The sequence below is a fragment of the Homo sapiens genome, chromosome 11 (assembly GCF_000001405.40).
Source record: "Homo sapiens chromosome 11, GRCh38.p14 Primary Assembly".
Lineage (NCBI taxonomy): Eukaryota > Metazoa > Chordata > Mammalia > Primates > Hominidae > Homo > Homo sapiens.
The window spans coordinates 89427039-89441797 of NC_000011.10; the positions used below are offsets into that span (position 1 = coordinate 89427039).

General features: G+C 34.5%; 1 protein-coding gene across 8 annotated transcripts in view; it reads right to left on the bottom strand.

The window, feature by feature from the left end:
* The window catches only part of NOX4 (NADPH oxidase 4), a 265205-nt gene that overhangs the window by 102686 nt on the left and 147760 nt on the right, over positions 1 to 14759 (bottom strand). For all 8 annotated transcript variants that reach the window (NM_001143837.2, NM_001300995.1, NM_001291926.2 and 5 more), the window contains 2 exon segments: positions 13650 to 13677; positions 5746 to 5818 (listed from right to left, as the gene is read on the bottom strand). In NM_001143837.2, coding sequence (NP_001137309.2) covers positions 5746 to 5818; positions 13650 to 13677 — 101 coding nt within the window.

Genomic DNA, 14759 nt, shown 5'->3' on the forward strand with positions numbered 1-14759 from the left:
TCAGGCAGCAACATTTGCTATTCAGCAATATTCACTGTTCTGCAGCCTGCACTGCTGATACCCAGGCAAACAGCATCTGGAGTGGACCTCCAGCAAACTCCAACAGACCTGCAGCTGAGGGTCCTGACTGTTAGAAGGAAAACTAACAAACAGAAAAGACATCCACACCAAAACCTCATTCGCATGTCACCATCATCAAAGACCAAAGACAGATAAAACCACAAAGATGGGGAAAAAAACAGAGCAGAAAAGCTGAAAATTCTAAAAATCAGAGCGCCTCTCCCCCTCCAAAGGAACGCAGCTCCTCACTAGCAATGGAACAAAGCTGCACAAAGAATGATTTTGACGAGTTGAGAGAAGAAGGCTTCAGATGATCAAACTTCTCTGAGCTAAAGGAGGAAGTTCGAACCCATTGCAAAGAAGCTAAAAACCTTGAAAAAAAATTAGACGAATGGCTAACTAGAATAACCAGTGTAGAGAAGTCCTTAAATGACCTGATGGAGCTGAAAACCATGGCACGAGAACTACGTGACGAATGACAAGCTTCAGTAGCCGATTCAATCAACTGGAAGAAAGGGTATCAGTGATTGAAGATCAAATGAATGAAATGAAGTGAGAAGAGTTTAGAGAGAAAAGAGTAAAAAGAAATGAACAAAGCCTCCAAGAATTATGGGACTATGTGAGAAGACCAAAACTACGTCTGATTGGCGTACCTGAAAGTGACGGCGAGAATGGAACCAAGTTGGAAAACACCATGCAAGATATTATCCAGGAGAACTTCCCCAACCTAGTAAGGCAGGCCAATATTCAAATTCAGGAAATACAGAGAACGCCACAAAGATACTCCTCGAGAAGACCAACTCAAAGACACATAATTGTCAGATTCACCAAAGTTGAAATAAAGGAAAAAATGTTAAGGGCAGCCAGAGAGAAAGGTGGGGTTGCCCACAAACGGAAGCCCATCAGACTAACAGCTGATCTCTCAGCAGAAACTCTACAAGCCAGAAGAGAGTGAGGGCCAACATTCAACATTCTTAAAGAAAAGAATTTTCAACCCAGAATTTCATATCCAACCAAACTAAGCTTCATAAGTGAAGGAGAAACAAAATCCTTTACAGACAAGCAAATGCTGAGAGATTTTGGCACCACCAGGCCTCCCCTAAAAGAGCTCCTGAAGGAAGCACTAAACATGGAAAGGAACAACCGGTACCAGCCACAGCAGAAACACACCAAATTGTAAAGACCATCGATGCTAGAAGAAACTGCATCAACTAATGAGCAAAATAACCAGCTAACATCATAATGACAGGATCAAATTCACACATAACAATATTAACCTTAAATGTAAATAGACTAAATGTTCCAATTAAAATGCACAGACTGGCAAACTGGATAGAGTCAAGACCCATCAGTGTGCTGTATTCAGGAAACCCATCTCACATGCAGACACACATAGGCTCAAAATAAAGGGATGGAGGAAGATCTACCAAGCAAATGGAAAACAAAAAAAGGCAGGGGTTGCAATCCTAGTCTCTGATAAAACAGACTTTAAACCAACAAAGATCAAAACAGACAAAGAAGGCCATTACATAATGGTAAAGGGATCAATTCAACAAGAAGAGCTAACTATCCTAAATATATATGCACCCAATACAGGAGCACCCAGATTCATAAAGCAAGTCCTTAGAGACCTACAAAGAGACTTAGACAACCACACAATAATAATGGGAGACTATAACACCCCACTGTCAACATTAGACAGATCAACGAGACAGAAAGTTAACAAGGATATCCAGGAATTGAACTCAGCTCTGCACCAAGCGGACCTAATAGACACCTACAGAACTCTCCACTCCAATCAGCAGAATACACATTCTTCTCAGAACCACATCGCACTTATTCCAAAATTGACCACATAGTTGGAAGCAAAGCACTCCTCAGCAAATGTAAAAGAACAGAAATTATACCTATCTCTCACACTACAGTGCAATCAAACTAGAACTCAGGATTAAGAACTCACTCAAAACCGCTCAACTGCATGGAAACTGAACAACCTGCTCCTGAATGACTACTGGGTACATAACAAAATGAAGGCAGAAATAAAGATATTCTTTGAAAACAATGAGAAAAAAGACACAACATACCAGAATCTCTGGGACACATTTAAAGCAGTGTGTAGAGGAAAATTTATAGCACTAAATGTCCACAAGAGAAAGCAGGAAAGATCTAAAATTGACACCCTAATATCACAATTAAAAGAACTAGAGAAGCAAGAGCAAACACATTCAAAAGCTAGCAGAAGGCAAGAAATAACTAAGATCAGAGAAGAACTGAAGGAGACAGAGACACAAAAAACCCTTCAAAAAATCAATGAATGCAGAAGCTGGTTTTTTGAAAAGATCAACAAAATTGATAGACCGCTAGCAAGACTAATAAAGAAGAAAAGAGAGAAGAATCAAATAGATGCAATAAAAAATGATACAGGGGATATCAACACCGATCGCACAGAAATATAAACTACCATCAGAGAATACTATAAACACCTCTACGCAAATAAACTAGAAAATCTAGAAGAAATGGATAAACTTCTGGAAACATACACCCTCCCAAGACTAAACCAGGAAGAAGATGAATCCCTGAATAGACCAATAACAGGCTCTGAAATTGAGGCAATAATTAATAGCCTACCAACCAAAAAAGGACCAGATGGATTCACAGCCGAATTCTACCAGAGGTACAAGGAGGAGCTCATACCATTCCTTCTGAAACTATTCCAATCAATAGAAAAAGAGGGAATCCTCCCTAACTCATTTTATAAGGCCAGCATCATCCTAATACCAAAGCCTGGCAGAGACACAACAAAAAAAGAGAATTTTAGACCAATATCCTTGATGAACATCGATGGAAAAATCCTCAATAAAATACTGGCAAACCGAATCCAGCAGCACATCAAAAAGCTTATCCAACATGATGAAGTGGGCTTCATCCCTGGGATGCAAAGCTGGTTCAACACATGCAATCAATGCATGTAATCCAGCATATAAACAGAACCAAAGACAAAAACCACATGATTATCTCCATAGATGCAGAAAAGGCCTTTGACAAAATTCAACAACCCTTCATGCTAAAAACTCTCAATAAATTAGGGATTGATGGGACATATGTCAAAATAATAAGAGCTATTTATGACAAACCCACAGCCAATATCATGCTGAATGGGCAAAAACTGGAAGCATTCCCTTTGAAAACTGGCACAAGACAGGGATGTCCTCTCTCACCCCTCCTATTCAACATAGTGTTGGAAGTTCTGGCCAGGGCAATCAGGCAGGAGAAAGAAATAAAGGATATTCAATTAGGAAAAAAGGAAGTCAAATCGTCCCTGTTTGCAGATGAAAGGATTGTACATTTAGAAAACCCTATCATCTCAGCCCAAAATCTCCTTAAGGTGATAAGCAACTTCAGCAAAGTCTCAGGATACAAAATCAATGTGCAAAAATCACAAGCATTCTTATACACCAATAACAGACAAACAGAGAGCCAAATCATGAGTGAACTCCCATTCACAATTGCTTCAAAGAGAATAAAATACCTAGGAATCCAACTTACAAGGGATGTGAAGGACTTCTTCAAGGAGAACTACATACCACTGCTCAACGAAATAAAAGAGGACACAAACAAATGGAAGAACATTCCATGCTCAGGGATAGGAAGAATCAATATCGTGAAAATGGCCATACTGCCCAAGGTAATTTATAGATTCAGTTGCATCCTCATCAAGCTACCAATGACTTTCTTCACAGAATTGGAAAAAACTACTTTAAAGTTCATATGGAACCAAAAAAGAGCCTGCATTGCCAAGACAATCCTAAGCCAAAAGAACAAAGCTGGAGGCATCACGCTACCTGACTTCAAACAATACTACAAGGCTGCAGTAACCAAAGCAGCATGGTACTGCTACCAAAACAGAGATATAGACCAATGGAACAGAACAGAGCCCTCAGAAATAATACCACACATCTACAATCATCTGATCTTTGACAAACCTGACAAAAACAAGAAATGGGGAAAGAATTCCCTATTTAATAAATGGTGCTGGGAAAACTGGCTAGTTGTATGTAGAAAGCTGAAACTGGATCCCTTCCTTACACCTTATACAAAAATTAATTCAAGATGGATTAAAGACTTAAATGTTAGACCTAAAACCATCAAAACCCTAGAAGAAAACCTAGGCAATACCATTCAGGACATACACATGAGCAAGGACTTCATGTCTAAAACACCAAAAGCAATGGCAACAAAAGCCAAAATTGAAAATGGGATCTAATTAAACTAAAGAGCTTCTGCACAGCAAAAGAAACTACCATCAGAGTGAACAGGCAACCTACAGAATGGGAGAAAATTTTTGCAGTCTACCTATCTGACAAAGGGCTAATATCCAGAATCTACAAAAAACTCAAACTTACAAGAAAAAAACAAACAACCCCATCAAAAAGTAGGCAAAGGATATGAACAGACACCTCTCAAAAGAAGACATTTATGCAGCCAAAAGACACATGAAAAAATGCTCATCATCACTGGCCATCAGAGAAATGCAAATCAAAACCACAATGAGATACCATTTCACACCAGTTAGAATGGTGATCATTAAAAAGTCAGGAAACAACAGGTGCTGGAGAGGATGTGGAGAAACAGGAACACTTTTACACTGTTGGTGGGACTGTAAACTAATTCAATCATTGTGGAAGACAGTGTGGCGATTCCTCAGGGATCTAGAACTAGAAATACCATTTGACCCAGCCATCCCATTACTGGGTATATACCCAAAGGATTATAAATCATGCTGCTATAAAGACACAGGCACACGTATGTTTATTGCGGCACTATTCACAATAGCAAAGACTTGGAACCAACCCAAATGTCCATCAATGATAGACTGGATTAAGAATATGTGGCACATATACACCATGGATTACTATGCAGCCATAAAAAAGGATGAGTTCATGTCCTTTTTAGGGACATGGATGAAGCTGGAAACCAACATTCTCAGCAAACTATCGCAAGGACAAAAAACTATACACCACATGTTCTCACTCATAGGTGAGAACTGAACAATGAGAACACTTGGACACAGGAAGGGGAACATCACACACCGGGGCCTGTTGTGGGGTTGGGAGAGGGGGAGGGACAGCATTAGGAGATATACCTAATGTAAATGATGAGTTAATGGGTGCGGCACACCAACATGGCACATGTATACATATGTAACAAACCTGCACATTATGCACATGTACCCTAGAACTTAAAGTATAATAATAAAAAAATAAATAAAATAAAATAAAATCACAATGTTAAATCTTAAAAATAATGAAATAATAAAATAAAATAATTTTAAGTCACATATTCCTAGGAATTTCTAAGGTCCCCATATGTACACATTGATTTCAATCCCGTGTCCCATAGAGATACACTATCCTTCAAAAGATACTCAAATTCTGAAGAACTCTAATTCTTTTGATCATCAAATGCAGTCTCCATACACAATTTCTTACCAATCCAGAAAATTTGCTAATACAAGAGAACTTTCAGAAACAAGAAGTCATGTATAGAAACAGCTATACTTCACTCTTACTTACCCAGAATAGTCCATTAACCAGGACACTACAATGGTTAAACATTTTGATTACTCAAGACTTTTTCTAAATAACCTGACAGATACACATCAAAATAATTGATTCTGACACTTACCTTATTGCATATGTAGAGGCTGTGATCATGAGGAATAGCACCACCACCATGCAGACCCCTGTCAGGCCAGGAACTATAAAAATGTATACAAGTAGGTTTTTACTTAAATCATAGTGAGAAAAAAATACAAAAAATGATTATATTAGAATCCGAAATACTGTGCTGTTCTGTGGGAAGCCTAATTCAAATCCCACATCTACATGTATGTTCTCCCTCAAACAAGCCCTTTACTTTTTAATTTTTTAAATTAATTTTTGATTGACAGATAATAATTATACATAGCTATGGAGTACATAGTGATGTTTCCATACATATAAAGTAAAAGTGATCAGATCAGAGTAATTAGCATATCCATCCATCATCTCAAACATTTATTATTACTTTGTGTTGGGAACATTCAATATCCTTCTTCTAGCTATTTGAAAGCATATAATACATTATTGCTTACTATAGTCATTCTACAGTGGTACAGAACACCAGAACTTATTAAAATCAGTACAGTTTCAAAGTCGTTTAGACCAATCAGGATCTTTTATCTATTTTACAGAATATTCCATTTTTTTTAATTCCCAAATATTCTACTCAGAATGGCAAATAGGTACTTACTTCTAAAAGTATACACTAAACATCAGTAATTAATGCAACAGGACAGGGTTAACTTTCAGCACTCTTTCTGTTTTGGTTTTAAACACCATAGTACTAAATCTCCCTCATGCTCTCCTTCCTCTTATGAAACTAAGCAGTGCCTTCAGTTTCAATTTCAATTAACTGCTTTTAGGCTTCACTAACTAGAATAATTTTAAACAAAAAATAAAGCCTAAAGTGTTTTCAAAAATCACAAAACACAGAACAAAAATTGGAGGTTTCTAGAATAAACTACAATGTTGATGTTTTAAAAATACTTGCAGACATATTTCTCCTTAGTATGAAAAATATGTTGAAATCAAGTGCTTCAGATATGGCATAACATTTGTTTTTTTAAAATAATAAAATGTGCAAATATATTGTCAAAATTATAATGGCAGGATAGATTGCTACAAATCCAACATTAGCACATATAGCATGTCCAAAATGAATAGCTAACTGAAAAACAATATCCTAAACAGCTAAAGTGTCAATGGTCTCCTTTAGTATTGTATTATTACAAAATTAAATATCCTGTCAATAAGTTACATTTGTTTACTCTCACAAGCAACAGTAAGTCCTGAATATCCCATCTGAGATAATCTTAAATCAGACTACAAAGAAAAGCTATTGGGACAATTCCATCTGGAAAAGTGACATTCCTCTGCTTCTTTCCTTGTCAAGAAAACTACTATGAAATAGAAGGTCTGTCATAGACTATGAGCCACCAGCAGAAGCAGACACCTTGTGTACAATGTAAGAGCAACACAGGTGTGTATCATTAGGATTCCAGAGTTAGAATCACTGGAAAATAACAGCATTCGAAATCTCAGTACAGTAGAAACAAATTTCACTTATAAAGCACCACATGAAAAATAAGAGAATTAGTCTATGGGTTCTCAGCACTTGAGTACTCGCACCTCCTCACTTTCCCAGTAGACAGTTTTAGAAGCCTAACAAAAGGTGCCCTTCCCTAATGTACCTAATCCAAATCATTTCTTCTTTACGCTTCCTTCCTAGAGGAAAAGTACTTCCTTTTTCATGATTTTTCCATTTCCTACAGTGAGTGCTTACTTCCCAGTTGTAAGAGATGGGTAAGATAACTAGTCTAGTTCACTCTAAAGAACTAGCAGCATGAAAAATACACTATTTTGGAAAAATAGCATGCCTGCAAAGTAACCCAGCCATTGCACTTCCAAGTGTTTACCCAAAAGAAACAAACATATATCCATGCAAAGACTTGTTTAAGAATGTTCATAGCTACTTATTTTTAACAGTCAAAGTCTATAAACGACTCTGATATTCATCAACAGATTAATGGATAAACAATTGTGGTACTTATCTGTACCTGGAAAATTAATCAGCAATAAAAAAAAAATAAAGTGTTGATAGATAAGCAACAATATACATGAATCACAAAATTGTTAGACTGAATAAAAGAAGCTAAACCACTCCAGTCCTGAAAAAGTACAAATTCTATGATTCCTTGTATATAACATTCCAGAAAATTCACACTATTCTTCAGTGATAGAAAGCAGATCAGTTGCTAGGAGGGGTAGAGGGCAAGATGCGTTATAAAAGAGCACAAAAATATTCTGTGATAATAAAAATATTTATCATCTAACTTTTGATGATGGTTCCACTATTGTGTATGTATGTGTATATATGTATGTATCAAAACCAATCAAATTGTATACATGTGTATAATTAGTGTACTTCAATTATAATTTCATAAATTTGAGAGAAAAAAGAAGAGGTCAGTCTCACTGTTTTCAAGTGTTAAAAAAGAAAACCTTTATTTGTCCACATGAATAACTAAATGATAGAATCCCAGATGGCTACATAGTGTGAAATTATAGTTAGAGGGGCCTTTCCAATATTTTATTGGGCCTTTATTAGTGTTCTTCTATGTCTGCATACACTTTCCTATATAGTTTTGAACATGCCAAAATTAGTCATGGGATGTCTGCAAATTACTTCATCGAAAGAACACCTGGAAAAATGGAGTATGTTTAGAATAGAGCCACAATTTCCAAAGTGTATTATTTGAAAATTAATTCCTTGAAATATTAGTTTCTATTACTAAAAATACTATAACCATTCCTTAAAAAGTCACAGGGTACATTAATGTATAAAAGTCTCTGAGAAGTATTAAATTCAAGAAACCTGATTAAACTTAAATATTTTCTTAAACTTATTAGATCAGAGTATTGCTTTTAGGTCAGAACATGAAAACATATTGGAAAGACTTAGAGGAAGTAAAATAGTTTACTTCAGTCATTTGAGGATAAAATAGAAGGGCCAGACGACCCAGCCAATGATGTATATGGTCTGGGATTATACTCTTGTTACTGTCCCTTACACAAAACTCCAATCTCACTGAATCTCATCTGCAAACTAAGGAGAATAAATCTGAAGATTTTCCATGTTCCTTCAGATTTATAAAGTTATCTCTTTTATCTAAAGAATTTGTTTTTCCTTCTTATTTCTCAAAAGTAAAAAAGACCAAAGTGTACAATTAATAAAGTAATAGATTTCAGATCAATGAAGAAGAACTTACAATTAGCAAGGGCAGAAAAGCATACTATAATCAGAGTGATCAAAAAGTCAGGGGTAACTGTTATCTGGGATATTACAAGAAGATCTATGCATCAAATAAAAGAGTTAAACAAATGACTTTTATTCATTCAGTGAACAGTTTGTAGGCATATACAGTGTACTGTTAGATGTTAAATGCTAGAGATAAAATAAATTCTGCTCTACAAAAATTCCCAGTCCACTGGTGGAGACAGACAAGTTAAGCAGGAAATTGCAACACACGGCATTAAGTGCTGTAAAGAGAGCTAAGCACTGAGTGCTTTCAGGGCACATCAAAGGGCACCCTAAGCTAGCCTTGGTTGACAGCTCAGCTAAATCCCAATATATTAGCCTTATTACAACACATTCCAAGAGTCTGAAAACACCGGCTGGAAATCACTGGGCTAGTCTAATCTCACCGGGCAAAGTTGCTTGTCCAAGTGAAGTACCTTGATTCTCCTGTGAATTTTTTTAGTCCTTCAAGTTAGGAAGCCAAACCTATACTTGTTTCCTTAGCAAAATACATGTTTACATGTTTATTCTTATGGCTTTATATTTATGCATATTAAATTTATTAATTAGTAGCTTTTAAAATGAATAATTGCATGACATTGTAATTTCTAGATGAACCTGAGAGATTGTTTTCATCCATACCCAGATGTGGTCAGAAATATACCATTATCTATTCATTATCCTATTTTACTAACATAATTGGAAACATAATTATATTTGTTTCTGAGGGTTTTTAAAATTAAAGTTAGATATTATCCATTTTATTCTCACCATAAAAGCTACTACCAAATTTGGAGATATATAGTAAGCATTTTTAAATGAACATTTAAATAATTCAATCTATTAATCTTACCTTAGAAATCCTTAATTGGAATGTTTATAACATTTCTTATGTAGTAAGTTTAGCCACTATATTTTATGTCACTTGTATAACCAAAGACTTTATTTTTTACAAGACAATCTTAATTTGTCAATACTAGATTCCATTGAAAAAAATTCCAACACACAGAGATAGAAGACTCTATGTAATATTAAACAAACAAAAATCCATGAAATCTATTAACTAATAAAAATACTCTTTATCAGCTGGGCGCAGTGGCTCACGCCTGTAATCTGAGCACTTTGGGAGGCTGAGGCAAGCAGATCATGAGGTCAAGAGTTCAAGACCAGCCTGGCCAACATAGTGAAACTCCATCTCTACTAAAAAAAAAATACAAAAAACTTAGCCGGGCATGGTGACGGGCACCTGTAATCCCAGTTACTTGGGAGGCTGAGGCAATGTTTCCTAGATGCTGTGCCTGAGAACATTCAGAGATGGCTGTGGAATAGTTTTAGTCAACATTAGTGATATAAAGTTGGATTCAGTTCATTGATAGAAAAAGGTGTCTTTCATGCCATTACCATCCTTAGACTCTACTTTGCACTGTCACCTGCTAGTCTTCAGTGGGGACAAACAGATGCCTTAGGAGCTCCAGACTCACGCTTAGGGAGCCCTGTGTCTGAGCCCAGTTCCAGACTGATGACCTGGGAAGTGGATGCCTCCTGCTGGCCAGCATAGTACTTCTTTTCTTGAAATTATGTGAGAATGGGCCACCAAAATGGTGCTAATTTGCTGAATTGGGTGAGTCAAATTGTTTTTATTGCCAGAGGCCATAAAAAAATGTTTACCTAGGACCCTGCATACTCTAGAAGCAGCCCTTCCCAACCCAAGAGAAGCTCACCTACAAGTGGAAAAGACAGTACATGTAAGGAAATAAACTATTCTACAACACAGTATTTTTACAGTCATCCTTCAATATCCATGCGATTGGTTCCAGGACCCCTCACAGATACCAAGTTTGAGAATGCTCAAGTATTTATACATAACATGTGCACATCCTCTCACATACTTTAAATTATCTCTCGGTTACTTACAATAAATACCTAATACAAAAGGCAGGCAGTAGCGAGACGGTATGCTCAAGAGTATGATGAGATGTTCAGTAGTGACAGGACAGCAGCTCCCAAAGTACCTGGGAAGGTTAGTAAAACACTTTGCCAAGTCTTTCCCAGACACACACTAAGGTAGACCCAGGAAATTTGTATTAAGTGTCTTCTCTACTAAGTCCAACACCACTCATGGGGACCTCTGGGAAAGGACATAGGATGATAGGGTTGCATGCTAGGTAGTGAGATTACCTGCTTATAAGAAGTATTAGTTATTAGTATAATAATATTAGTATTATTAGTATATTAGTATAACATAGTAATATATTATTATTATATATAATATATAATAATATATATACTACATATAAAATATTTTGAGATGTTAAACTTGCTTATATATAGTATATATCATTATATACTATATATACTATATATTATATAATATATATAATATATAATATATAATTATAATATAAATAATATATAATATATAATTATAATATAATATATACTATGTATATTATATAATATACAGCATATATATTATATACTATATATACTATATAATATACAGCATATATATTATATACTATATATACTATATATTACACACTATATATAATAATATACTATATATAATATAATATATACTATATATTATATACTATATATAATACTATATATAATATATAGTATATATTATATACTATATATAATACTCTATATAATATATACTATATATTATATACTATATATACTATAAATAATATATAATATACTATATATTATTATATTATTATATCATATATACTATATATAATACTATATATAATATAATATAATATAATAATATAATAATATATAGTGTATAATATATTATATATTATATATATTATATAATATCTTATATATTATATATATTATATAATATATTATATATTATATATATAATATATAATATATTATATATTATATATATAATATATAATATAAAATATATATAATAATATAATATATATTATTTTATATATAATAATATATAATATATAATTATATATTATATTATTAATATAATATTAGTAATATTAGTATAATCATAATAGTGCTAATAGTAACAATACTAATAATAATACTACTAATAGTATAATAATATTAGTGCCTTAATGTGATAGCTTAGTCACATAACAAATCTCTTTGTGTCTTTGTAAACTAAACTTTTCAAAGCATTTTAAAGGTTCCAAGGCTTCAATTAAACTTTATGTTTTAGAAAATAATATTAAACAAAGCTTTTGTTTCTCTCTCTTAAATGAATTCACTGTAAACCAAAAAATACATTGGTTGATACGTAAAGTTTTCTTTTTCTGTACTTTTTGTTCTCACCCAATTCTTCAGGCCTAAATGAAAACATGTTTTCAATGAGCAAAGTTGAAAGCAAAACTAAATTGTGTTCCTAAAGAGAAAACTGTGAAATACTTTGCAAGTGGCAAGTATTATAAATCTATAGACAAAAGTAAAATGTATCTTATAAATCTAAATATATAGCTGTGACATGGATGGGGAAAGCACTAGAATTATTGTGACGTTTCATCATAAAATTGATTCAAAAGAAAAATAATGCATTTGCCAGGGTAATGTGCCTCAGTCCCATGTGCAATTCCAATACTTAATTGGGTATTACACCCAACAATTTATGATAGAGCATCTCAACTATGCAATCATCCTTGTCCCTGAAATATGTGCTAAAAATTCCCCAAATGCATCTTTATTCTTTCATCTTTATAAATCTAAGGTTGGGAAAAAGAAGACTTTTAGCAAAAATTGTTTAACATCAGGGGAAATTTTGAGATGTTCAAACGTGCTTTAACAAATTAATAGTCTAGACTGAGATTTCATGGACAATAAGCTTGAAAAGGAAAAATAAATTACAAATGAAATAGGAGACACATTTCAAAGAAATAACTTATTTTAATGACTGTTTCTCCTCTTTGTTGTAAATTTTAAGATTAAAAAAAGTTGCACTAAATTACTGAATTATAAGAACTCCATGGATACCCACAGTGCTTGGTGTTCCTTTCCAATACATTGAGGGCAGGAGCCTGTTAAACATGCATTATCTCCTACAGCACTTGCCACAGCAGCAGGCACAAAGCAGGCCCTCAATAAGAATGCGGTTGCATTGTTTTGATTGGAAGAATATACGACAGTGAAATGTATTTGCTTATTTTTACTCTCCATTTATTCACACCCCAATGTTTGCATTGTCTCTGTTCTCATTGCAACCTTATCCTTTAACTCCAAATATTTATTCTTACATGCAAATTGTCCATATGTTATATTTGTAACATATATCTAATTGTTGTGTAATTTGATAATGCTTAGTTTTATTTTATTTATTTTTATTTTTATTTTTTAGACGGAGTCTTACTCTGTCACGCCCAGGCTGGAGTGCAGTGGCGCGATCTCAGCTCAGTGCAATTTCTGCCTCCTGGGTTCAAGTGATTCTCCTGCCTCAGCCTCCTAAGTAGCTGGGATTACAGGCACTTGCCACCCACCATGCCCGGCTAATTTTTTGTGTTTTTAGTAGAGATGGGGTTTCATCATGTTGATCAGGCTGGTTTCGAGTTCCTGACCTCAGGTGATCCGCCCGCCTCAGCCTCCCAAAGTGCTGGGAATACAGGCATGAGCCACTGCGCCCAGTCCGATAATGCCTACTTTTAAAGATGTTCCTAAACCTAAAGAAAAGGCTAAGAATAACAACTTACCAGTTGTGAAGAGAAGTTTTCTAGGATCCTGAGAAAAAGAAAAAAAAATAAATGATTAAAAACTAAAGCACTGATGATATATAATTCTATAAAGAGTATGCAGGATCTACAAACCACATACTTGTCATGTAAAATACTGTTCATCCAACGGAAGTGAGAAAGACTCGATTAAGTTTCATAACATTTTCACAATGCTAGAGGAGATTACAACAAGTAAAAACCCAATTCAGAGAAATCTATCCATCTGAGGCAAAATACTGGATGACTCAAAAGGCCCAGAAATTATTCTTAATGGTTACCTACAAGCTGGTGGCACTGGTTTTAAGCCCATCTTTGACCATTTTGAAACTCAATATCTTAGCCATGATGTTAAACTATTATTATATACTCTGTCTACCAAAACCGTGAAACTGCATCACAAGATGTGAAGACAGAATTAAAAACCAATAAAATATGTAGGGGATTTGCGCATTGTAAGCTCAGTACGAAGAAGACTAATTGAGAGCTTTCTGTGTTTCAAATATAGTGAAAAGTGGTGAGGATACTCAAATAAAAACCAGTTTCTGCTACTTAGAAATATGAAACATTAATATTGCTAAAATATTGTATGATTTCCTTTAAACTACATCTCTTATGCTCTAATGGTTATAGTCAGCACCCTTCTACCTTCTGGAAAACCAATCGCCACTAGATTTGTGGATTTATTTTTTATCCCCGTGGTGCTTAATATTTCACAAGCTTTTGAATTTCTTTCTGTGTGCCTCCATTGAATCTGGGGTCAGGCCAGACTATGTACTAAGAAGGAAACGATTGATATAGTGTCATCTGGGGGTCTTTGAATAAGGACCACTTGCTTAGGAATAGCTCCTCACCTGGCTTAATTCAATTGACTTCTATTCCAACTATTAGAAACATGGCTATAGGGTGATCTAAGAAAACTGAATATATAAACAACCCATAAAAATATCATATGGGCTGAACAAAGTGGTAAGAATAGAAATGTGAATAAATACCTAAGAAAACCCAGAAGATGGAACAATTAATATTGCTAGAGAAAGAAAATGAAACATGAGAGTGAGAGATGTTTTCACAGTGGCAAGATGAGGCAGA